The 23,713-nt window shown below is 48.8% G+C and overlaps 1 protein-coding gene across 8 annotated transcripts in view, besides 2 other annotated features; it reads left to right on the top strand.

The window, feature by feature from the left end:
- Positions 1-23,713, top strand: part of SYT2 (synaptotagmin 2) — a 119,859-nt gene that overhangs the window by 83,802 nt on the left and 12,344 nt on the right. For 3 of the 8 annotated variants that reach the window (NM_177402.5, XM_017000313.2, NM_001136504.1), the window contains exons 2-4: positions 20,864-21,058; positions 22,032-22,198; positions 23,535-23,654. In NM_177402.5, the coding sequence (NP_796376.2) occupies positions 20,881-21,058; positions 22,032-22,198; positions 23,535-23,654 (465 nt within the window). In that variant the 5' untranslated portion in view covers positions 20,864-20,880. Of the gene's footprint in view, positions 1-17,712; positions 21,059-22,031; positions 22,199-23,525; positions 23,655-23,713 lie in introns of those variants that run through there. The other 5 variants (XM_011509192.3, XM_017000312.2, XM_017000311.3 and 2 more) reach the window with 3 other exon arrangements.
- Positions 1,125-1,204: a silencer, noted in NCBI's record as "silent region_1702". NCBI's record gives its function as "represses an Ori minimal core promoter by ATAC-STARR-seq in GM12878 lymphoblastoid cells {active_cell/tissue: GM12878}" and the evidence as "EXISTENCE:reporter gene assay evidence [ECO:0000049][PMID:35858748]".
- Positions 3,315-3,939: an enhancer, noted in NCBI's record as "H3K27ac-H3K4me1 hESC enhancer chr1:202591842-202592466 (GRCh37/hg19 assembly coordinates)". NCBI's record gives its function as "activates a minimal SCP1, AML or CMV promoter by ChIP-STARR-seq in primed H9 embryonic stem cells {active_cell/tissue: H9 hESC(primed)}" and the evidence as "EXISTENCE:reporter gene assay evidence [ECO:0000049][PMID:30033119]".

Raw genomic sequence — 23,713 nt, 5'->3', positions numbered from 1 at the left:
GCTCAGGCCTGTAATCTCAGGACTTTGGGAGGCTGAGGCAGGTGAATTGCTTGAGCCCAGGAGTTTGAGACCATCCTGGGCAACATAGTGAGACCCCTTCTCTACAAAAAAGAGCCGGGCATGGTGGTACGCCTGTAGTCCCAGCTACTCGTGGGGGTCGAGGCTGCAGTGAGCTGTGATTGTGCCACTGCTCTCCAGCCTGGGTGACAGAGTGAGACCCTGTCTCAAAAAAAAAAAAAAAAAAAAAAAAAAAAGCTGAGAGGCTGTCTTGGGAGATGCAAAGCCACTTTCCAAAGGATGGAAAGAAGTGAAGAGAAACCAGGTCTCTTGATGCCTCTTTCAGGTCCCAGCCCTCTTGCCACCTTTGGAGACAGAGGGTCTGGCAAGAGATGCCACTGCAGAGGGAGGGTGGGGGCTGGTGACCCTGTGGTCTCTTCCAACCCCGAGGCTGTAAGGTGACCCGCATCGTAGTCCACCCCCTCCCATTACCCACGTACAGGGCCTGTAGCTATCACCCCAGCTTCCTGGACAAGTGGTGTGGCCCGAGACCCCCAGCGTTCCCTTCCCTGGAGCTTCTCACATTTCTACATATGGCAGTGTAATGCACCTGCACACAATGTTTGCATATGTGTTCACAGTGCTGGTTCATGCATGTTTATACATTCATACATGGTGTTCATACACATGGCGTTCACGTGCACACACATACACATACACAGCCTTTCTGGCATTCTCTGCTATGTTCTTGCACTGGCTGCTGTCACCCATTTCAGCTGGGCCTGAGAGATGGAGACAGGACCCCCTCCCCGGTGCTGCCGGCTAGCAGATGCCACAGTGCTGATGTTCTGCTCCATTACTGAGTTAATGGAGCCTCCTTCTGCCTCCGGCCTCCCACCGGTTGCCCACCTCCTCCTTTCCAGGGTGTGAGCGTTGACTGGGGGCCTGGGAGGGAGCCTGGCGGGGGTGCGGCTGTGTGCGGAGGGCGTGGGCCTGGCTTGGGTGGAGATGGGGCTGGAGGCAGGCGGCAGCCTCCTGGACGGACAGCAGGGGGCACCGCTAGGTCTCCTCAACGGGCCGCAGGGAAGAAGTGGGCTGGGGAGGAGGCCGCGGTCTCTCCAGCTACTCTCCTGCAGCTTGAACGGGGGCACCTGCCACCCAGCCCGGGCTCCTGCCCCTGCCCCCTTCCCCCTCCCCGCACACTGGCAACACCCCCTCCCCTTACACTCCCAGTCCACGCCACACACACACCCTACTACACACCACACACACTACACACACACACCACACACCACAAACATCACACACACACCCTACTACATGCCACACACACCACACACACACCACACAGACACAGCACACACCACAAACATCACACACACACCCTACTACATGCCACACACACCACACACACACCACACAGACACAGCACACACCACAAACATCACACACACACCCTACTACATGCCACACACACGACACACACACCACACAGACACACCACACACCCTATTACACGCCACACACACGACACACATACCACACACACCACACACATACCACACACAAACCACACACACACCCTACTACACACCACACACCCTACTAGACACCACACACACCACACACACAACCTACTACATGCCACACCACAAAGACACACACCACACTACACACACCACACATGCCACACACAGACACCACACACACTACACAAACACACCACACAGACACACACCACACACCCTACTACACGCCACATACCACACAGGCACACATCACACACACACCACACACCCTACTACACACCACACACACCCTACTACAGACCAGACACCACACACACACACCATGCTACATGCCATACACACCACACACACACCACACACCACACACACACCACACACCCTACTACATGCCACACACACCCTACTACATACCACACACACACCCTACTACACGCAACACACACTACTAAACACCACACACACACTACTACACACCAGACACTGTGCTACATGCCATACACACACTCTATGACACCACACACACCACACAGATACCACACACATCACACACCACACACACTACTAAACACCACACACACCACACACATCCACACTCTACTACACACCACACAGACACACACCATACACACCTTACTATACACCACACACACCTCACTACACACAACAGACCACAACACATACACGTATTACACACACATCCCACACAAACTCACTATACCCCCATACCACACATACGTACACACCACACATATGCCACTACCCACTACCCACATACCCCCTGACACCCCACTAGAGCCTCCACCCCTAACCCACACCACCCCCTACATCACACACACACCATATATACACACCCCACTGTCCCCCACACCCTAGCGCCCACATCACACACACTACACATACAGCACACACATCCTACACATACATACCACCACATATACCCCTACCCACCACATACATGCACACGCCACATATGCACACTCACATCACACACACACCACCACACTCACGCACTCCTATTAAAAGGCTTTTGCTTTCGTGCCAAACCTCTAAACCCATCCCTTAGAGGGGCGGTGATCGGCAGAGCTAGTGTGTTCAAACCTTGTAACATTTAGTCAGAAAGAAAATGCATCAATTTGTAACAGTTTGTAGCTGAAATTGAAGATGTGCATCTGGCATGAAAGATATCGGGACTGTGCTGGAAGGTGCTGTGTGCCTCACATGAGGCAGAGCTGCTCACACTGTGGCTGGAGGATCCATTGATTGTGTGGGTTAATCACTGCTAAGCCACAGAGAGCTCCCCTTTCCCCTGGTGAGCGCTCCCCCAGCTGGCAGTTGCCCACGCACTCTGCAGAAAGCAGTGCCTCTCTTGGGAGCACGACCAGGGCAGACCCCCACAGTCCTACCCGTCCTCCCTCACACTCAGAGCATGCGCACAACAGACCTCCTGGGGCCCACGGGTGCACCCCCCCTACACACTTTCCGTATCCTACACCAGGCAGCCCAGGGCCCGCTGGTCCCCAAGCCTCCATCTGTCCCCACTCAATCACTCATTCCGGGTCGCCCACCCTTCCCGGCCTGCTCCCAAGCATCTTGACACCCAACCAATGGAAGACCCTCTCCTCCGCCCCAGGACAGCTGCCTGTGGGTTTGGGAGATGTTGTGGGGTGCTGGGGAGTGGGGAACCCTGGAGGCCCAAGATTCTGAGTCTCTGGAGAAGGAGGTGGGAAGGCAGCCTGTCTGGGGGCCAGAGGCAGCCCCCTGGGCTGGGAGCAGCTGGGGGCCCCAGCAGGCAGCTCAGGGCTGGCCAGGCGGCTGGACTGTGACTCAGCAGCTTCTCCGTCTTGGCTAGAGTGCGCCGTGCTGCAGTATTAACTCCCTCTCCAGGGAGCCTGGACTCCAGCTCCTCTCCCATGGGGATGGCGGGCTTCTCTGTCCTGTTTCAAGTTGTGATCCTGGCTGGGGTGGCAGAGCGGAGGGTGTGCTGAGGGGCTTGCCTGGCGGGGGCATCCCTCTGCCCCCTCACCACTGCTACTATCCCTGCACCCTACAAGAGTTAGCCAAGGATCAAATGGAGCCAGGGCTTGGTGGGGTGGCCTGAGGGGCGACAAAGGCCTGGAATCCAGGAGTTGACAACTCAGGCAGGGCTGCCACCATTTAGCGGTGTTGTTTGTGTGATGGAGGTAAGCCACCTCCCTTTGGGGCCTCAGTTTCTTTGTTTTCGAAAAGAGGCTGTGGACTGCGTTGTCTGTAAGAGTCCCTCAGCCCTCACAGGCTGGGTTTTATTAATATTTGCCTGTGATTTAAGGGTATCCATGCCTGGGGTCTAGGTTCAGAGAGAAATAAATAATCCGAGGCAGGTGTGAGGTGCTGCAGGTTTACAGAGCCTCACTCAGGAAACTTCACCTTTGATCATGGAAGCTGTCCTTAAGGCAGGCAGGGCAGGGATGCTTAACCCCCACACACAGCTGCACAAGCGCAGGGAGGCTAACAGGCCAGCCCAAGATTGGTGCAGGAAGGGCTCAATCCTCAGCCATTGGATTCTGAGGCGCCCATCAGGTGGCCTGGAATTGCTGATCTCAGCGAGATCAAGAGAAGGAAAATGAGTGTTGCTGCAGCAGGAGAGATTGAAGTTAGACACTAGAAGGACGTTCCAACTCTCAGGAACCTGGGAGTTGTTAGCTTCCCCAGGGCCAGTCAAGAACAGACTCTGCTTCTACGTGTGCGGAATGACAACCTCGCTCCAAAGTGGAGGTGTGCATGCACTGACCAAGAAGGCTCATCAGGCCTCGGTACACAAGGAACTCAAAGAAATGGGTAACTTATTTTCAGAATGAGCTAGAAAATTAATTCATTAAAACTTTATCCTCAGCCTCCTAGGACCAAATGTTGGACTGAAGCATTGGTGCAAAACATAAAGACATATATTTCTCCTTAAGTATTGATCTTTCTAGCCTGTGAGCTTCGGTGACAGGTGTCTTGCTGGTTAACCTATTTCCATCTCATTACTTTGGCTTCTGCAAATACAATGCCGGGAAAGATTAAATACTGTAAGCTGTATCCAGTCAGCTCTCCATTATCTGCATTAATCAAGGCTAGTACTGAGTGGGATAATCCACAGAAGTGCCTAGTCCCCAGATCATATTTAATTGGTTTGGGGTGGCAGTTGATGGTGAGTGTATGTACATGTGTGCACACACACACATATATGCTTTTGGTGAGGGTGAGGATTGAACTTACTCATCTTTGATGTGGCATCAGGATCCCATTTTGGAGGCAGTCTCATTTGGGGGCACACCAAGGGAATCCCAGAAGCCTGCTAGAGGAGACAGCAGGGCTTCCAGTCTCCTGACTTTTTGTAGGGAAGAAGAGAGGCAAGGTGAGAGCCTAGGGGTCCTCTGAGGGTGAGGGGGGCAGGTCCTGGTGGCATTCTTCCTGCAGCATGCCTCCCACCTGGAGCAGGTCAGGCGATTTCTGGGTGAGCTACACAAACCCACTCATTTGTTCTCTCTTTTGGCTGGGCGCAGTGGCTCATGCCTATAATCCCAGCACTTTGGGAGGTCAAGGCAGCAAGATCGCCAGGAGTTCAAGGAGTTCATGAGGCCAGGAGTTCAAGACCAGCCTGAGCAACATAGTGGTACCCTGTCTCTATGAAAAACTTTAAAACTAGCCAGGCATGGTGGCGCATGTGTGTGGTCCTAGCTCCTTGGGAGGCTGAGGTGGGAGGATTGCTTGGGCCCAGGAGTTTGAAGGCTGCAGTGAGCTATGATCACGGCCCTGTATTCCAGCCTGAGCAACAGAGTGAGACGCTGTCTGTAAAAAATAAAATAAATTTAAAAACACACAAACCCCCCTCATTTGTTTTCTCCTTTGCAAGGCTGAGGATCCAGCTCCAGGGTTCTGAAGTACCAGAGGGTGGAAGAGACAGGCAGATTTTCGTGGGGTTCAAAAATTTAAAGATACAGAAAGATACCCAGTGAAATATTTTCCAGCTCCTCCTTTCCCAACTCCGCTCCCCAGAAGCAACTACAACTAATGTCATCAATTCCTTATGCACCTTTCCAGAGCCGTGCTGTGAATATAGAAGCATACAAGCATACATATACTTCTCCCCTACCCTTTTACACAGGTATCATGCTCACTCCCCTGCACACCGATTCTTCCACTATCTCCCTTGGAGATCATTCCCTGTTCACCCACACAGAGCAAAGCTCCAGGGCATCTGGGCCTTCTGTGATTCTCCCATGTAGGCTGACCATGGGCTGAGTGAAGACCCTCAAAGCAGAACATCCCAGAACTACTGAGAGTGTGAGTGTGAGTGTGCGAGGTCGTCTCACCCCACCTTCCTCCTCCAGCCTAGCTCCCCTTCCCTCCTACTCAACTTGATTGTCAATCAAGTCTCCCTTTAGTTTAGGTACAAGAACTGTGGCTGAGCTCTGAGCATATCTGGGCATTTGGAGTTAAGGAAAGAGAGAGCCTCTAGACATGTTGTTTCTGCTTGTTATAAGAGGGCTTATAACAGGGGGAGAGATGGTGGCCCCTTCCCCCTGCACTCCCCATCCCGGCGTATCCCTAGGCTCTCTGTTGAGAGCATTCTTTTTGATACTCACCTGAAGTCCTGCTTTCTGCCCTGACAGCTCTCTACATGATAGAAAAAAAAAAAGGATAAGATAAAGGATAAGCCAACCAGGTTGTCACCTGCTCCCCAACTCCTAACTCACCCCAGGCCAAGTGTGGCTGTTCTCCCTAGCAAAGGGGGCCAGAGGCAGTTAACTAGTACTCCAAGACCCCAGCATGTTTTAGGGTCTGTGCAGGGACATGCATGCCAAGCATGGTTCCTCCTGGACCCATTGCTCCCAGCCCTGGGGCCACTTGCAGAGGCCTGAGTGCTTGGGACTGACACTGTCACAGGGGCCAAGTGGCCATCCTGGGCAGACAGAAGGACAGCGGCCAGTGGACCAGGGAGAGAAGGGAATTCCTGCGTGGATTCTGTTTAGTGACCTTGTTTCTGGTCTACCCCTGCTTCTCCAGCATCATTTCCCACTATTGGAGACTCCCCCTTCCTGAGCTTTCCCTGAGGACTGGGCCCCCTACCTTGCTCCTGAGCAGGAGACCTGGCCTCAGTCAAATTTAGACCCGGATCTTTACTCTGATCAACTGTGTGACCTTGGGCAGGTCACTTACTACCTGTCTGAGCAGAATTTGCCTTGCCTTTGAAATGATGCTGGTAATTGTGCCCTCTTCCCAGGTGGGTTAGATGAGAACATCTGTGCGCTCATCAAACAGAGCTATGGTGATTGAACCTGTTGTTGCCACCAATGTCCTCCTGCCTGCCCTGCTCTGATGCCCTCCAGGTCTGCAGTGCCTTTGAGGCTTATTTTACTTCCAGCAACCGGGCTTGGACTTTGACCTCTCTGGCAAGTCTTTCTGAATTACTTAGAACCTCATTTTTTCAAAGTGTGGTGCCCAGATCACCTGCATCAGAGGAAATGGGGATGTTGTTACAATGCAGATCCCTGGGCACATTCCAGTCCACTGAGTTTTCTGAGTTAGGCTCTGGGAGACAGGGTGCAATGGCAGAGGGTCTGCATTTTAACAAATTCCCCAGGGGGTCTTGATGCAGGCCAAGCCTGAGAGACCCTTCCTCAGTCCCTTCCCTTGTGTGTCTTCTCCCTTGTTGGGGCCTCCCAGACCCCTACCTCTTCAGACCTTGACCTGTGGCCCAGCAGGCTGGGAGCAGGCATCTCTCCCCACCCCCAGCCTCCCTCTCCGGGCAGCTGCAGCCTTCACCTAATGGCGCCATTTCATGCTTTCCTGCTCGGGTGATTCTGACCAGACAGAGGAGTTCACTCTGTCCTGGGAGCCCTGGCACCCTGATCCATTTATCATCCTCAAGTCTTCCAGCTGGCTGCTCTCCCCGGGACTGCAGCTCCCAGCCATGCGGGAGGCGAGGCAGCTGTGAGTTCCCGATAATTTGGCTCTCCCTCACACCGTTCTCGCCGCCATTCCTCCCCAGCCATAGGAGCCCTGCCTCCTAGAGTGGGGGAAATAGTCCTGGAGGCGGAGGAGGCTGCTGGGCTGTGGAAGGAAGCACTGGACTAGGGGTCCAGGGATTTAGATTCTTCCTCCACCAAATGCCTGTGCGACCTTGGACAACTGGCTTCACTTCTCCAGGCCTCCAGGAGTCTTGGGTGGCATGCAGGGTATGAAAGGGCTCCTGCTGTTTTCCTTCTTTTTACATTTTTTTTCTCTGACTCTAGAAGGGACAGCAGAGCCAGGTGACAGGGGGTCACATCAGAAGGAGAGTCAGCTGAGGGAATCTTGGTCTCTCAGCTACTGGCGTGTCTCCCAGGGAAAATGGAAATGCAACCGAAGGGCAGCCTTGGAAAAATAAGCAGTGGTTCTCTACATGCTGAGCAGATGTGGGCTGTGGGAAGGACATGCGGTCTCTACCCATGCAACATCTCATTTAATCCCAGCCTCAACTCGAGGGTTTAGGAATAAAAGCTGCATTCAAATAGTTAAGAAGTCTGACACTCAGAGAGGTGAAAGAAACCACCCGAGGTGAAATGACTCATAAGGGGGTGCGTCTGACTCTCTATGGTCCCAGGCCTGCTGCAAGAGGAGAGGAAGGGTGGGCAGTTCCCAAAGCTGTGTGCAATGCCCCCACTTCCCATGCCAGCTTTGGGGTCTCGCTGTACACACACACACACACACACACACACACACTCACACCAGACCTTGGTTCCTTCCCAATCTATGCTTGGGTGGGTGTCCCTGGATATAGCCTGATGACAACTGAGTCTTAACATGGTTTGTGGAAAGAGCCCTGGGCCCAGAGCCAGCCTGTACTGCACGGGGGGACCCTGGGAAGGCCACTTCCCCACAGAATTCAGTGTCTTCTGTGAAATGACATAATGTGACCCAATCTCAAAGTCTGTCCTGCTTGATCATTTACAGACCCACATATTTATTGAATGTGGGCAGATTACTTGAGGTCAGGAGTTCGAGACCAGCCTGGCCAACATGGTGAAACCCCGTCTCTACAAAACTACAACAAATTAGCCAGGCGTGTGGTGGGCACCTGTAATCCCAGCTACTTGGGAGACTGAGGCAGGAGAATTGCTTGAACCTGGGAGGCAGAGGTTGCAGTGAGCCAAGATCGTGCCACTGCACTCCAGCCTGGCAGACAGCGAGACTCCATCTCAACAACAACAACAACAAAAAATGCGTAAACAAGTGAGCGTCCCAACAAAATTTTATTTACAAAAATTAGGTGGGGGACTGGATTTAGCCCCTGGACTGCCGTTGGCCAATGCCTGCACTAGAGCAACAGCAGTGAGTAAGACCAATGAGGTGGCTGCTTATACAGTCACAAGCTGCATGAGTACCATGGGGATGAGAATGGAGAGCTGGGAAAGCAGGTGGTTGAGGCCTTGATGCGGGGGTAGGGGAGGAGGGAGCCATGGGTGTGGGGAGGAAGGCGTTCTTGGAAGTACTGTTTGAGCTGAGAAAGATGTGTAGACTGTATTAGTCTGATCTTGCACTGCTATAAAGAAAAACCTAAGACTGGGCAATTTATAAAGAAAAGAGGTTTAATTGGCTCGAAGTTCCACAGGCTGTACAGAAAGCATGATGCTGGCATCTGCTCGGCTTCTGGAGAGGCCTCAGGAAACTTACAATCATGGGGGGAGGTGAAGAGGGAGCCAGCACTTCACATGGCCAGAGCAGGAGGAAGAGGCGAGGGAGTGGGGGTTGGGGGGTGCTACACACTTTTAAATGACCAGTCTCATGAGAACTCACTATCACTAGATCTGACCCTGTGATCCAATCACCTCTCACCAGGCCCCACCTCCAACATCAGGGATTACAATTTGACATGAGATTTGGGCAGGGACACAGATCCAAACTGTATCATAGGCTTTGGCTCCTTGAAGGGGGCACAGCATATACAAAGGCCCCGAAGAGGGTAATACAGTGTATTAGGGGAAACAAAAGAAGGAGTGTAGGCTGGTGTTAGCAACCCAGGGAGGGAAAGCTGAGGTGCTGCTGGATGGAGAGCATGAGGGGCTGTAGGCCACGCTAGGGCTTTCGGCCTGTCTCCCTGGGATGGCTTTTCATTTTTGGCGACATGACTGGCTTTGCATTTTATGAAGATTGCCTTGGTGGCAAATACGGAACTGACTGGAGGCGAGCAAGAGGAGACCCAGAAGATCAGGCAGCTATGTCGGGGGCCAGTTGACCTGTGGGCCTGGAGCTCGGAAGTGGCTTGACTCTGACAGAAGAGGATGGCACTGATGCCTGGGTGCAGAAGGAACCACGCAGGGAGACACCATGGCTGAGAAGGGAAGGACCTCAAGTGCAAGCCTGAGGCAACCGAAGGAGGAGTAGTCACAGTTATGACAAAAGCAGGCAGCGGCCAGCTGACCACAGCTCAGGGGTCCAGCTCAAGGAAAATGAAAATGCGCCCTGGGTTTAGTGACCTTGTGTTCATCATCCATGACTTTACAAAGAGCTACTTCAGCAGAGGGATGGGGCAGAAGCCACAATGGAGGGGCTGACGAGTGAGGTGGACGTGACGAAATGGGGACCATGTGTGCGTGTGTGTGCACGTGTGTATATGTGTGTGCATATGTGTATGTGTGTGCAAGTGTGTGTGCGTGGTCACGAAGGGGAGAACAAGGCAGCAGGTGGGGCTCATTTTTGGTGGGTGATGTGATAAACTGGACTGGTCCAGCCTCAGCTGAGGGAAGGGGGAAATGTTAGGCACAAGAAAGGGCAGGGATGGCAAAGACTTCCTGAGAAGTCAGGAGGGATCCTGCGCAGGAACGGGAACTGGCTTAACCAGAGGAAAAGCCCTCAACTCACAAGGGGTCAGGAGGAAAGGTCTGTGGTTTGACCCAAGGTTGGGACATTTTGAGAGATTTCTCGCTTCTGCTTTTCTTTAAAATAACAGCAAAGAGAGAGGAGGGGTGTGAGGGAGCCACAGGCCTGCGGAAACTGGAGGAGGAGGCGAAGCTGGTGGGGAGGCGTTTCCTGCAGTTTCTGTGCAGTGCAGAGGGCCTGGGTGATCCTGGGGATTGATGGGATACAGGCTGCCCTTGTACTGTGGGGGGATTTTCACCAGGGGGCTCAGCAGTCGGGGGTAGCCATGGAGAAGGAGAAAGCTGTCAGTGGGATTTCTCCAGGGCTGGCGCTTTGCCAGGTGAATACCACAGAAATGCCAAGGGAGTGTGGGGAATTGCGAACAAGTTGTAGGCACCACGGACCATGGTGGGAAAAGAAGACTAGAGGGGCTGATGGTGGCCCAGGGAGGTCAGGGAGACTTCTCCAGGAAGAGCATTCTAGGCTGAGGGAGAGTAAGTGCCAAGACTGTGGGATGGGGGTCTGTTTGGTGGGTTTGTGGCTGGTGGCAAGAGGCCAGCATGGCAGGAACTGCGTGACTGAGAGCAAGGACAGGAAATGCCTGTGGGAGCCAGCCAGGGGCCAGGCCAGGCAGGGATCTTATTCTAAATGTGACAAGAAGCCACAGGAGGGTTTTAAATAGATCAGTCTGGCTGCAGTGTGGAGATCAGGCTGAGTGGAGGGGAGTGGAAGCTTCCAGATAGGAGGCTACTGTGGTACTCCAGCTGGAGGGTGGAAAGTGGCCAGATTTGGAAGGCATTGTGGGTGGTTGATGAGTTTGCAGACACCTGGGATGTGGGGGGGTGACCCCACATGGATGGGAAGGATGACCCCAAGGCTTCTGGTCTCAGCACCTGGTGCCATGTACTGGGTGCATAACTGAGAGACGGGCCCTGAATCCACCCCATCCACTCTCTGGGCCCACTGCCCATGCCTGCCTTTGACATGAGCCTCCTCAGGCATCTTCTATTCCCTTGCTGTCTGGGCAGCTATGGCCTCCTGGTTTTGTTGGAGTCTGGAAAAGCTTCCAATCTGCTGCTGCTGCTTCATGGACTCCCCACATTCCCTCTCTGCAGCTCTAAGTCATTTTCCTCTGGTGGATTCCCCGGGAATGCCGTCTGTCTTTCATAAGAGCTCGGGGATGACATTTGTTATTGGCTGTTTTCAACTCTTTCCCCGCTTTCCTCTGGAGTTATGCTCCACCCTAGTCTTTTTACTCACGACAGCCAAAGCGAAACTTTTAAAATATACATTTGTACATGTTACCCCTGCCCCCACCCTAAAAGGCCTCCCACAGCTTCTCATTCCTCTTTGGGAAAGACAAAACTCCTTGACGCGGCCTATGGTGCTCCTGATCCTGCCCTGCCCGGCCTGCCAGCCTCACCCTGAACCGTGATCCATCCACTCCAGCTGCCCTGGCCTTCTCTCAGGCTTTGGACTCACCACACTGCATCCCACCTCTGGGCCTTTGCATAGGCTGTGCTCTCTGCCTAGGCTGCCCTTTCATCTCCTCTTTACCTGGATAAATACTCACCCTTCAGGTCTCAGTTCAATCATCAATTTTTCAAGAAAGCACTTTTGCTTTCCCAGATTAATTCACGTATGCCCCATTATAAATGCTCACCACCACCAGATGGCTCTCCTTTCTTGCACTTCTCATAATTACAATTTTATATGCACTTATGTGAAGTGCATGGTAAATTCCATGAGGGAAGCATGATATGAGCTCAGTAAATACTTGAGTGAGTGAGTGAATGAATGAATGTGTCTCTCACATCTGTTCTCTCTACTCCATTCCTTACCTTCCCATCCTAGTGCAGGTCTTTACCATTTCTGGTCTGTGGAACCAACCTCCCTGCTCCACTCCCCATGGAGCTAACTTCACAAACCCCACTTATAACTGCTCAGCACCCTTCAGTGGTTCCTGCTGGGTATAGAGGGAAGTCTAATCTCCTTTTCTGGGACTCCAACACTCCTGAGATGCAGTTCTCCCCCTTCATTCCTGGCCTGCAGATTCCCTGAACCTCAGGAGCATTAAGCGTCTTCATTCCTGGCTGGTTTATTTGACACCAAGCAGCTTTACTTTGCTACAGGACCATTTCTGGACGGTCAGTCTGGAGAGAAGGCCTGCATCCACCATGAACCTTGGGTCCCTCTACGGTGCCAGGGCCACTTCCAGGTGCCTCAGATAAGGTTCAATGAACACTTCTCAGATTCACATCCAACCCACATTTATTGAATGCCCTCTATGTGCCAGACACAACCAAATTTATTTTTAAAATTTTCACGGCAGTTCTGAAAAGTAGGTATTATTTTCCACAATTTTATATTGAAGAAATCAAGTTTCACAAAGGGATTTTTGGAGTCAAATGACAAGTGGTTGGCATTCTTGGGACTACATTCAGCCTCTTCCCCCAGCCTGTGCTGCCTCCTGCCTGCCCTGCAGTGGAGAGTGAGAGGGTGGGGTGCTGCAGGGACCGTGGACCGGCTGTGGGGAGCTGTCTGCAGAAAGGGGAGGAGGACTGCCAATCCAGCGGCAAGGGTAGAATGGAGGAGCTAGGCTCAACTGATAAATGGCATCTACAAAAAGCCCACAGCTTACATTATATTAAATGAAGAAAGATTGAAAGATTTTCCCCCAAAGATCAGGAAAAAGACAAGAATTCCCACTGTCACCACTTCTGTTCAACAGTGGACTGGAAGTTCTAGCCACGGCAATTAGGGAAGAAAAAGAAAATGGAAAACTATCTTCATTTGCATGATTCTATATATAGAAAATCCTAAGGACTCCACCAGCACACACACACATGCACACACACACAAATTATTAGAACAAATGATTTCAGGCTGAACGCGGTGGCTGATGCCTGTAATCCCAGCACTTCGGGAGGTGGAGGCAGGCGGATCACCTGAGGTCAGGAGTTCAAGACCAGCCTGGCCAACATGGTGGAACCCCGTCTCTACTAAAAATACAAAAATTAGCCGGGCATGGTGGCACATGCCTATAATCCCAGCTACTAGAGAGGTTGAGGCATGAGAATTGCTTGAGCCCAGGAGGCGGAGGTTGCAGTGAGCCGAGATTGCACCACTGCTCTCCAGCCTGGGCGACAGAGCGAGACTCTGTCTGGAAAAAAAAAAAAAAAAAAAAAAAAAAAAAGGAAGAACCAATGAGTTCGGCAATGTGGCAGGGTACAAGACTGAGATACAAAAATCTATTATATTGCTATACACTAGCAACGAACAATCTGAAAGTGAAATTAAGAAAACAATTCCATTTATAATGACATCAAAAAGAATAAGATACCTAGGAACAAAAGAAGTGCAAGATGTGTAGTTGAAAACTACAAAACAATCTTGAAGGAAATTAAAGGTCTAAATAAGTGGGAAAATAGTGGAAAACTCAATGTTGTTGATATGATCCCTGAGCTGATCTACAGATTCAACACAATGCCTATCAAAATTCCAGCTATTTTGTAGAAATTAACAAGGTGGTCCTAAAATTCATATGGAAATGCAAGGAACCCAGAATAGCCAAAACAATCCTGATTAAAGAAGAACAGGCCTGGTGCAGTGGTTCATGCCTGTAGTACCAGCACTTTGGGAAGCCAAGGCAGGTGGATTGCATGAGCCCAGGAGTTCGAGACCAGCCTGGGCAGCATGGTGAAACCCCTTCTCTACAAAAATACAAAAATTAGCCAGTTGTGGTGGCATGGGGCTGTAGTCCTAGCTACTCAGAAGGCTGAGGTGGGAGGATCAATTGAGCCCGGGAGGTCAAGGCTGCAGTGAGCCATGTTCACACCACTGTACTCCAGCCTGGGTGACAGAGTGAGACCTTGGCTCAAAAAACAAAGTTGGAAGACCCATTCTGCCTGATTTCAAAACTTACTACAAAGCTACAGTAATCACGACAGTATGGTCAATAGTAGGCAGGTGCTATTAAAAAAAAAAATCAGTGTGGTATTGCCATGAGGTTAGACATACAGATAGAATTGAGAGTCCAGAAATAAACCCTCATATTTGTGGTCAGTTGATATTTTACAAGGGAACTAAGACAACTGGATGGAGGACAGAATAGTCTTTTCAACAAATGTTATATACCAAATGGATATCCACATACAAACGAATGAATGTGAACCCCTTCCTTACGCCATACTCAAAGTGGATTGTAGAAACATAGTGGAACCTAATTTCTAGAAGAAAATTAAAAATTAGCCAGATGTAATGGCACATGGCTGTAGTCCTAGCTACTCGGGAGGCTGAGGCTGGAGGATCACTTGAGCTCAGGAGGCCATGGCTGCAGTGAGCCATGATCATGCCACTGCACTTTAGCCTGGGTAACAGAGTGAGACCCTGTCTTAAAAAATAAGTGGCTTGTAGACTTGAATGTGAGAGCTAAAACTATGCAACTCCCATAAGAAAACAAAGGAGTAAATCTTAGTGCCCTTAGGTTTAGTGATGGTTTCTTGGATATAGCACCAAAAATATGGCAGCAAAAGAAACAGCTAAATTGGACATCATCAAAATTGAAAACTTTTTTGCTTCAAAGGACACCATTAAAAACTGAAAATATGACCAGGCACAGTGGCTCATGCCTGTAATCCCAGCACTTTGGGAGGCCGAGGAGGCCAGATCAACTGAGGTCAGGAGTTTGGGACCAGCCTGGCCAACATGGTAAAACCCCGTCTCTACTAAAAATACAAAAATTAGCCAGGCATGGTGGTGAGCGCCTATAACAATCCCAGCTACTTTGGGAGGCTGAGGCTGGAGAATCACTTGAACCTGGGAGGTGGAGGTGGCAGTGAGCTGAGATTGTGCCATTGCACTCCAGCCTGGGCAACAAGAGTGAAACTCCATCTCAAAAACAACAAAAAAACACCACACACACACAAAATGAAAATATAACCCTAGAATGAGAGAAAATATTTGCAAATTATATGTTCAAAAAGGAACTGGTATGCAGAATATATAAAAATTCTTACAACTCAATAATAAAAAGACAAAATATTTTAAGATGACCAAAGGATTTGAATAGATATTTCTCTATGGAAGATATACAAATGGCCCATAAGCACATGAAAAGATATGCTACATCATTAGACATCAGGGAAATGCAAATCAAAACTACAATGAAATGCCGCTTCACCTCCACTGGGATTACTATAAACAAAAAGACATAATAACAAGTGTTGTCCTTTTGGCTTAGGATTGACTTGGCAATGCGGGCTCTTTTTTGGTTCCATATGAACTTTAAAGTAGTTTTTTCCAATTCTGTGAAGAAAGTCATTGGTAGCTTGATGGGGATGGCATTGAATCTATAAATTACCTTGGGCAGTATGGCCATTTTCATGATATTGATTCTTCCTACCCATGAGCATGGAATGTTCTTCCATTTGTTTGTATCCTCTTTTATTTCATTGAGCAGTGGTTTGTAGTTCTCCTTGAAGAGGTCCTTCACATCCCTTGTAAGTTGGATTCCTAGGTATTTTGTTCTCTTTGAAGCAATTGTGAATGGGAGTTCACTCATGATTTGGCTCTCTGTTTGTCTGTTGTTGGTGTATAAGAATGCTTGTGATTTTTGCACATTGGTTTTGTATCCTGAGACTTTGCTGAAGTTGCCTATCAGCTTAAGGAGATTTTGGGCTGAGACGATGGGGTTTTCTAGATATACAATCATGTCATCTGCAGACAGGGACAATTTGACTTTCTCTTGTCCTAACTGAATACCCTTTATTTCCTTCTCCTGCCTGATTGCCCTGGCCAGAACTTCCAACACTATGTTGAATAGGAGTGGTGAGAGGGGGCATCCCTGTCTTGTGCCAGTTTTCAAAGGGAATGCTTCCAGTTTTTGCCCATTCAGTATGATATTGGCTGTGGGTTTGTCATAGATAGCAAAGCTGGAGGCATCACAGTACCTGACTTCAAACTATACTACAAGGCTACAGTAACCAAAACAGCATGGTACTGGTACCAAAACAGAGATATAGACCAATGGAACAGAACAGAGCCCTCAGAAATAATGCCGCATATCTACAACCATCTGATCTTTGACAAACCTGACAAAAACAAGAAATGGGGAAACGATTCCCTATTTAATAAATGGTGCTGGGAAAACTGGCTAGCCATATGTAGAAAGCTGAAACTGGATCCCTTCCTTACACCTTATACAAAAATTAATTCAAGATGGATTAAAGACTTAAATGTTAGACCTAAAACCATAAAAACCCTAGAAGAAAGCCTAGGCAATACCATTCAGGACACAGGCATGGGCAAGGACTTCACGTCTAAAACACCAAAAGCAATGGCAACAAAAGCCAAAATAGACAAATGGGATCCAATTAAACTAAAGAGCTTCTGCAGAGCAAAAGACACTACCATCAGAGTGAACAGGCAACCTACAGAATGGGAGAAAATTTTTGCAATCTACTCATCTGACAAAGGGCTAATATCCAGAATCTACAATGAACTCAAACAAATTTACAAGAAAAAAACAACCCCATCAAAAAGTGGGCAAAGGATATGAACAGACACTTCTCGAAAGAAGACAGTTATGCAGCCAAAAGACACATGAAAAAATGCTCATCATCACTGGCCATCAGAGAAACGCAAATCAAAACCACAATGAGATATCATCTCACACCAGTTAGAATGGCGATCATTAAAAAGTCAGGAAACAACAGGTGCTGGAGAGGATGTGGAGAAATAGGAACACTTTTACACTGTTGGTGGGACTGTACTAGTTCAACCATTGTGGAAGTCAGTGTGGCGATTCCTCAGGGGTCTAGAACTAGAAATACCATTTGATCCAGCAATCCCATTACTGGGTATATACCCAAAGGATTATAAGTCATGGATTATAAGTCAAGGATTATAAAGACACATGCACACGTATGTTCATTGCGGCACTATTCACAATAGCAAAGACTTGGAACCAACCCAAATGTCCAACAATGATAAGACTGGATTAAGAAAATGTGGCACACATACACCATGGAATACTATGCAGCCATAAAAAATGATGAGTTCATGTCCTTTGTAGGGACATGGATGAAGCTGGAAACCATCATTCTCAGCAAACTATCGCAAGGACAAAAAACCAAACACCGCATGTTCTCACTCATAGGTGGGAATTGAACAATGAGAACACATGGACACAGGAAGGGGAACATCACACTCTGGGGCCTGTTGTGGGGTGGGGGGAGGGTGGAGGGTTAGCATTAGGAGATATACCTAATGTTAAATGACGAGTTAATGGGTGCAGCACACCAACATGGCACATGTATACACATGTAACTAACCTGCACATTGTGCACATGTACCCTAAAATTTAAAGTATAATAAAAAAATAAGTGTTGTCTGGGATGTGGAAAACTTGGAACCCTCATACATTGCTGGTGGGAACATAAATTGGTGCTGGCACCTTAAAATGTCAAACATAGTTATGACCCAGCAATTCCATACCTATGTATATACCCAAGAGAAATGAAAACATATGTCCACGCAAAAACTTATGCATGGATGTTCATAGCAGCATTATTCATAATATCCCACAAGTGGGATATTATTAGCTATATTTAGTTATAAAATAGCCCAAAGTGGAAATAACCCAAATATTTATAAATTGATGAATGGATAAATATAAAATATGTTCTAGGCAAGGTGCGGTGGCTCATGCCTGTAATGCCAACATTTTGGAGGCTGAAGTGGGAGGATTGCTTGAGGCCAGGAGCTCGAGACCAGCCTGGGCAATATAGGGAGACCCCATATCTACAAAAAATTAAAAAATTAGCTTGGTGTGATGGCATGCACCTGTAATCCCAGCTACTCGGGAAGCTGAGGTGGGATGATCACTTGAGCCCTGGAGGTGGAGGCTGTAGTAAGTGGTTGCACCACTGCACTCCAGCTGGGTGACAGAGTGAGACCCTGTCTCAAAAAAAAAAAAAAATGTTTTCTATCTACACAATGGAATACTATGTGGCAATAAAAAGGGAATGAAATACTGATACATGCTACAACATAGATGAACCTTGAAAACATCATACTAAATGAAAGAAGCCAGTCACAAAGACCACATATTTTATAATTCCATTGATAGGAAATGTTTAGGATAGACAAATCTATAGAGTCAGAAAGTAGATTAGTGGTTGCTGGAGCTGGGAAGAGGATGGGAATGGAGAGTGACTGCTAATGGGACTGGGTTTCTTTTTGAGGTGGCAAAAATGTTCTAACTTAGGTTATGCTAATTGTTCCACTATTCTGTGAATACAATAAAATGCACTGAACTGTGTACTTTAAAGGGTGACATATGTGAATTACATCTCAATAAAGCTGTTTTTTAAAAAAAAAAGGTCACAGAGCCCTGAACAGTGTGGTAGAAGTGAGGGGAGATGGACATGGCGGAAGGCCCTGGACACACATCTTTATCCCTTTGTGTGGCTACTTGCAGTTCCCGCCAAACCGGACCCATCTCTTTGTCCCCAGAGGCGAAGTCCAGTGGACCTTGGTTTTTCACTTCAAGACCAGTTTTGGGGTCAAGGCTATTTCAACATGGCAGACAGTAAGAGTTAAATAAATGCTTGGTGAATGAACCTACATTGCATCAATGTACAGGCCACCAGAAGTACTTAAGGCTGGAGCAGTCTCCAGGGCTGGGGAGGGGATCTCAGCAGGTTTTTAAAGGAAGGGACAGAACTTAAGAGCTCCTAAAATGTTCCTTCAGAAGAACCCTGAGTCTAGAGGAGAGTTAACTCATACCTAACGTGCAGTGAGAAAAGTCTCACATTTTTTCTTTAAATTCTTGTGCTGTATGCATCCTACTCTATTATTTCCAGCTTGTTTTAATTTAAAAATACTGTAAATTGCCATTCAGTAAAACGGATGCCTCAGGGAGTTGTGCTGTTTATTCTTGCATCCTGGAATACCTGTGGGTGTATGCTGCTATGTTCCCTCAGAGGAGCCCAGTCAACAAATACCCAGAGTGCCCGCTGTGTGCTTGGCACAAGGGGTGCTGTTGCCAACACAGGATCTGCCCTCATGGGACTTTCAGTTGAGAAATAAGTGCATAGCCCTGAGGAGCAGAAAGAGCTTGGTGGAGAGGACAGAATTATGGGGGGCAGAGTTTGGAAGCTCGTAAGAACATTGCCTTAAATGAAGACCAACATTTATGCTCAGTGTTTTACTAGGAAAAAGTTGAAAACTGCCTAAATGTCTACCAGTGGAATGGCTAAAAAAATTATGGTGTTACCATATAGTAGGATATTATGTAGCTATTTAATAATAAAAAACAATAAAGGAAAAGGCTTATGATGAAATTTTATGTAAAAAATCTTGAAAAAAAACTATACATAGTATGGTCTCAACATGTAAAACATACTCAGAAAAAATACCAGCATAGAATGCCCCAAATGCTAGTTGACTTTGGAGGGTAGAATTATGGGGGGATTTCTCTCTCTCTCCCCAAATTTTCTACAGTAAGTCTGGGTTATGTTATTAATAAACATCACATCTTTGATGCGGGAAGGCTAATCTACAGCTGCATGTGGGGGCAGGGCTAGAGATGAACCTGGAGTAGGGGCCACAGAGTAGACCGGGGAGGAAGGGCTAGAGATGGAGATGTGGGTGCCGTCTTCCTACAGGAGAGGTCAAAACAAACCCTGAGTGGGCACTGAGGGAGCCCGTGAAGAAACCGCAGAGAGCTGAGGAGTCTCGCGGGGCAGGAGGAGGAATTGGAGTCAGGGATGAGGAGAGTCAAGTGTCATGGAGCTGGGCAGAGATTCTAGGCAGAGTAGTATCTAGAAATCCTTGGAAGTCAAGGAGAGAGGTTGAAAGAGGAGCCCTCAGTGTAAAACCTTGTCTCCTTCCTAGAGTGGTGAGGTTAGATTTCAATGAGATATAGGAGAGTGATTAGCTATACAGGCTCTGGAGTTGGGCAGACCAGTTCAAACCTCAGTTTCAGAACTTACAGCTAAGTGACCTTGGAAAAACTATCTAACCTCTCTGAACCTGTTTCCCCATCTGTTAAATGGAACCAATAAAAACCATTAGGTTATTTTTTGGATTAGATGAATAATGCATGGAAAGTGTTTTGCACAGTGCTTGGCACATATATGTACTATTTTTTTTAAGAGACAGAACCTTACTTAATCACCCATAGCTCATGTAACCTCAAACTCCTGGACTCAAGTGATCCTCTATCACTTCAGCCCCCACTATGCCTAACTAAAAAAAAAAAATTTCTAAAGATAGGGTCTTGCTATGCTGCTCAGGCTGACTGTGTACTAATTGGATGATGTCTATTATTATTGGTTTACTACAGTTGTTAATATTATGCAAAATATCTTTGATCTATAAAGAGCTTCTCCTGGTCCTTTGGGCAGGGCTTTCTCAGGGTAAGACGACCTCTGGATGCTCACCCTGCCCTCTTCACCTCTCGTCCCCAGCTGTTTCCTCTGCCACCATGAGGAACATTTTCAAGAGGAACCAGGAGCCTATTGTGGCTCCTGCCACCACCACCGCCACGATGCCCATTGGACCCGTGGACAACTCCACTGAGAGTGGGGGTGCTGGGGAGAGCCAGGAGGACATGTTTGCCAAACTGAAGGAGAAGTTATTCAATGAGATAAACAAGATTCCCTGTGAGTGTCTCTGGTGGCTGAGAGGGTGGGGCAAGGCTAGAGTCTGGGAGAGGTGAAGAAGGGTGGGGATACCACTGGGATGTGATTGGCTGGGCTCTTTCCTAATGCTTAGATTTCAGGCTGGGTTTTTGGAGAGCCCCTGCAGGAATCGGGGAGGGGGAAGTAGGATCTGCCACTAATGTGGCAAACAAGGGGGTTTATGTGCGTCAACTTCTCAGGGGAAGAAAAGTTCTTATAACTTAAAAAACTGTCTAAAGATGAAACCAAAAGGCGATGAAAAATTATGAAACAGAAGTCACTATTCAAGTTTGCCAATAATACTTTGAAATTTATTTTGGAAGATAGAAAATAAAAGCCCTCTCTGCTTTTGAATTTCTGGCAGAGGCTGTATAGGAGACACCAGAGATGCAGATTAAGGGGGAGCAGCCACACTGGCGGGAGATGGTGCTTCAGAACCACAGAGAGCAGCCCAGGACCCATCCCCAGTTGGGTTTTGCAAAGCCCAGCAGCAGTCTAGGTCTAGCCTCAAGGAGCTTGGCCTGCCTATCTGGCTATGCATCAGCCCTCTCAAGACTTGGCACAAGGGGCAGAGGCCAAAGGACTGATAAGCATCATCCCATCCTCTCTAGAGTGAGCCAGTCCTCCATAGATCACACTAGTAAAACTCAATAGAGCTAAACTGATATTCTTCCATGCATCCACCTGGTTGCTACCTCTCAGCTAGCAGGCTATACCAACAAGGACAGTAGGCAAAAAAAAAAAAAAAAAAAAAAAAAGCAAGGCATGATTGAAAAGGCATGCAAAGTATATGCACCTTACATACAAATCACTCATGGGTGTGTGGCTTTTAAAATGTGGGGTGTGGGCATTGTGGGATGGCAGTCATATTCCTCACCCATTTTTCCCAATGCTACGGGGTCAGGGGCTGCAAGGCATGGCACTGCTGACCCTGGGATCTTCTCTGTGTGGGCAGTACCACCCTGGGCACTGATCGCCATTGCTGTGGTTGCTGGGCTCCTGCTTCTCACCTGCTGCTTCTGCATCTGCAAGAAATGCTGCTGCAAGAAGAAGAAGAACAAGAAGGAGAAGGGCAAAGGCATGAAGAATGCCATGAACATGAAGGACATGAAAGGGGGTCAGGTAGGGCACATTGGTTGTGAGGGGGACTGGAAGGGGCTCAGCCCAGGCTTTCCTGATGCTGAAAGGGGAAGCAAAGGCTCCTGGGCTTCCACAGCCAAACCTGCTCCCCTCCTTAAAACTTGGCTCTCTCAGTTACATCTCTAGTATAACACCGTCTACCTGGAGGCCCCTGGGAGGGGGGGGCCTTATTCCTGTGTTAGCATGAACTCATCCCTGGAAAGACAGTGAAGGAGAACAATATATTGACTCCCCAATGAGGCTACTGGGACAAAATGTTGGAAAGAGACAGCCCCACACCAGCAAGACACCATCAGTTAACCCTGTGTTTTCCAGCCAGAGAGACTGAAGGACAATATCTCATGGGAGGCATCTAACTGGGCATGGGGCGGGAATCAAATGAGGCGGAAGAGTGACCCTGAGGCACCAAGACAGAGCCAAGTGGAATCCATCATTAATCATATCATAATTTATTTTCCCCTGTCTTTTGGTGTTGGTCAGCCTAGAAAGCTCCTTTTCTTCTTTTAAGTTTGCAGAGGCCTCTGTGTGCTTCCATTTCCCCCATGTTTGTTTGGGGGTGACTAGGAGGAATCTCTTGCTCAAGGAATCCATATGGAGGATGGAGGGAAGGGCTTGATCTCAGAAGCCAGGGATCTAAATGGCCTTTGAGTGCATGTGTGTGTGTATATGTCCTTGCACATGCAGGTATGTGTATGTATGTGGGCCCAAAAGGAACCTGCAGTGTGTGTGAGTGTGAGAGTGTGTTGGGAGGGGTTCCAGGATGACTTGGGTGTAGCCCTTCCTGGTCTTGAGGAGTGGCTGTGGTGACTTCAGGGGCTGGTTTGAGCTGCAGGATTTTCTCTTACATCACTTTCTTCTTTCTCTCTCCACCTCTGTGGGCTCACTCTGCTCCTGTCTGCCTGGACCGTACTTCTGGTATGTCTTGCCCAGGATGCGTGGGGCCTGAGCTGGGGAAAGTGTTTGGGAGAGGGCTTACAAGGGAAGTAAATCCTACCCCCACACCAGCCCCTAGAAGCTATGGAGCAGTTGGCACAGGGCCTGGTCCCATAGCACAGTGTGTCTCAGAGGCAGGAGAGTGGTGCCCAAACCAGAGCCATGTCTCAAACACAGGGTTGGGGGTAGAGGAGCCACCTAGGGGTTCTGATGGGCCGTGAAGGAGGGTCCCATGGCAGGGCCACGTTCCCTCTTGTGTTCCCACCACACACAGCTCTGAGTCAGGGTCTACCACAGAGGGGCTGGTTTCCCGTCATCCTGTGCTAAGCCAGACTTCTCGGTCCTCCCCTTTTAACTTGTTCCCTCTCTCCCCCAGCTCCCACAGGATGACGACGACGCAGAGACAGGCCTGACTGAGGGGGAAGGTGAAGGGGAGGAGGAGAAAGAGCCAGAGAACCTGGGCAAACTGCAGTTTTCCCTGGACTATGATTTTCAGGCTAATCAGGTATGCAGGGCTGTGGGGGGGCAGAGTGGGGGAATGGGGAGAGGCCTGGGAGTTGGGTG

The sequence above is a fragment of the Homo sapiens genome, chromosome 1 (genome assembly GCF_000001405.40).
Source record: "Homo sapiens chromosome 1, GRCh38.p14 Primary Assembly".
Taxonomy (NCBI): domain Eukaryota; kingdom Metazoa; phylum Chordata; class Mammalia; order Primates; family Hominidae; genus Homo; species Homo sapiens.
Note: the sequence above shows the minus strand (reverse complement) of the source record. Positions and strands in the feature narration are given on the sequence as shown.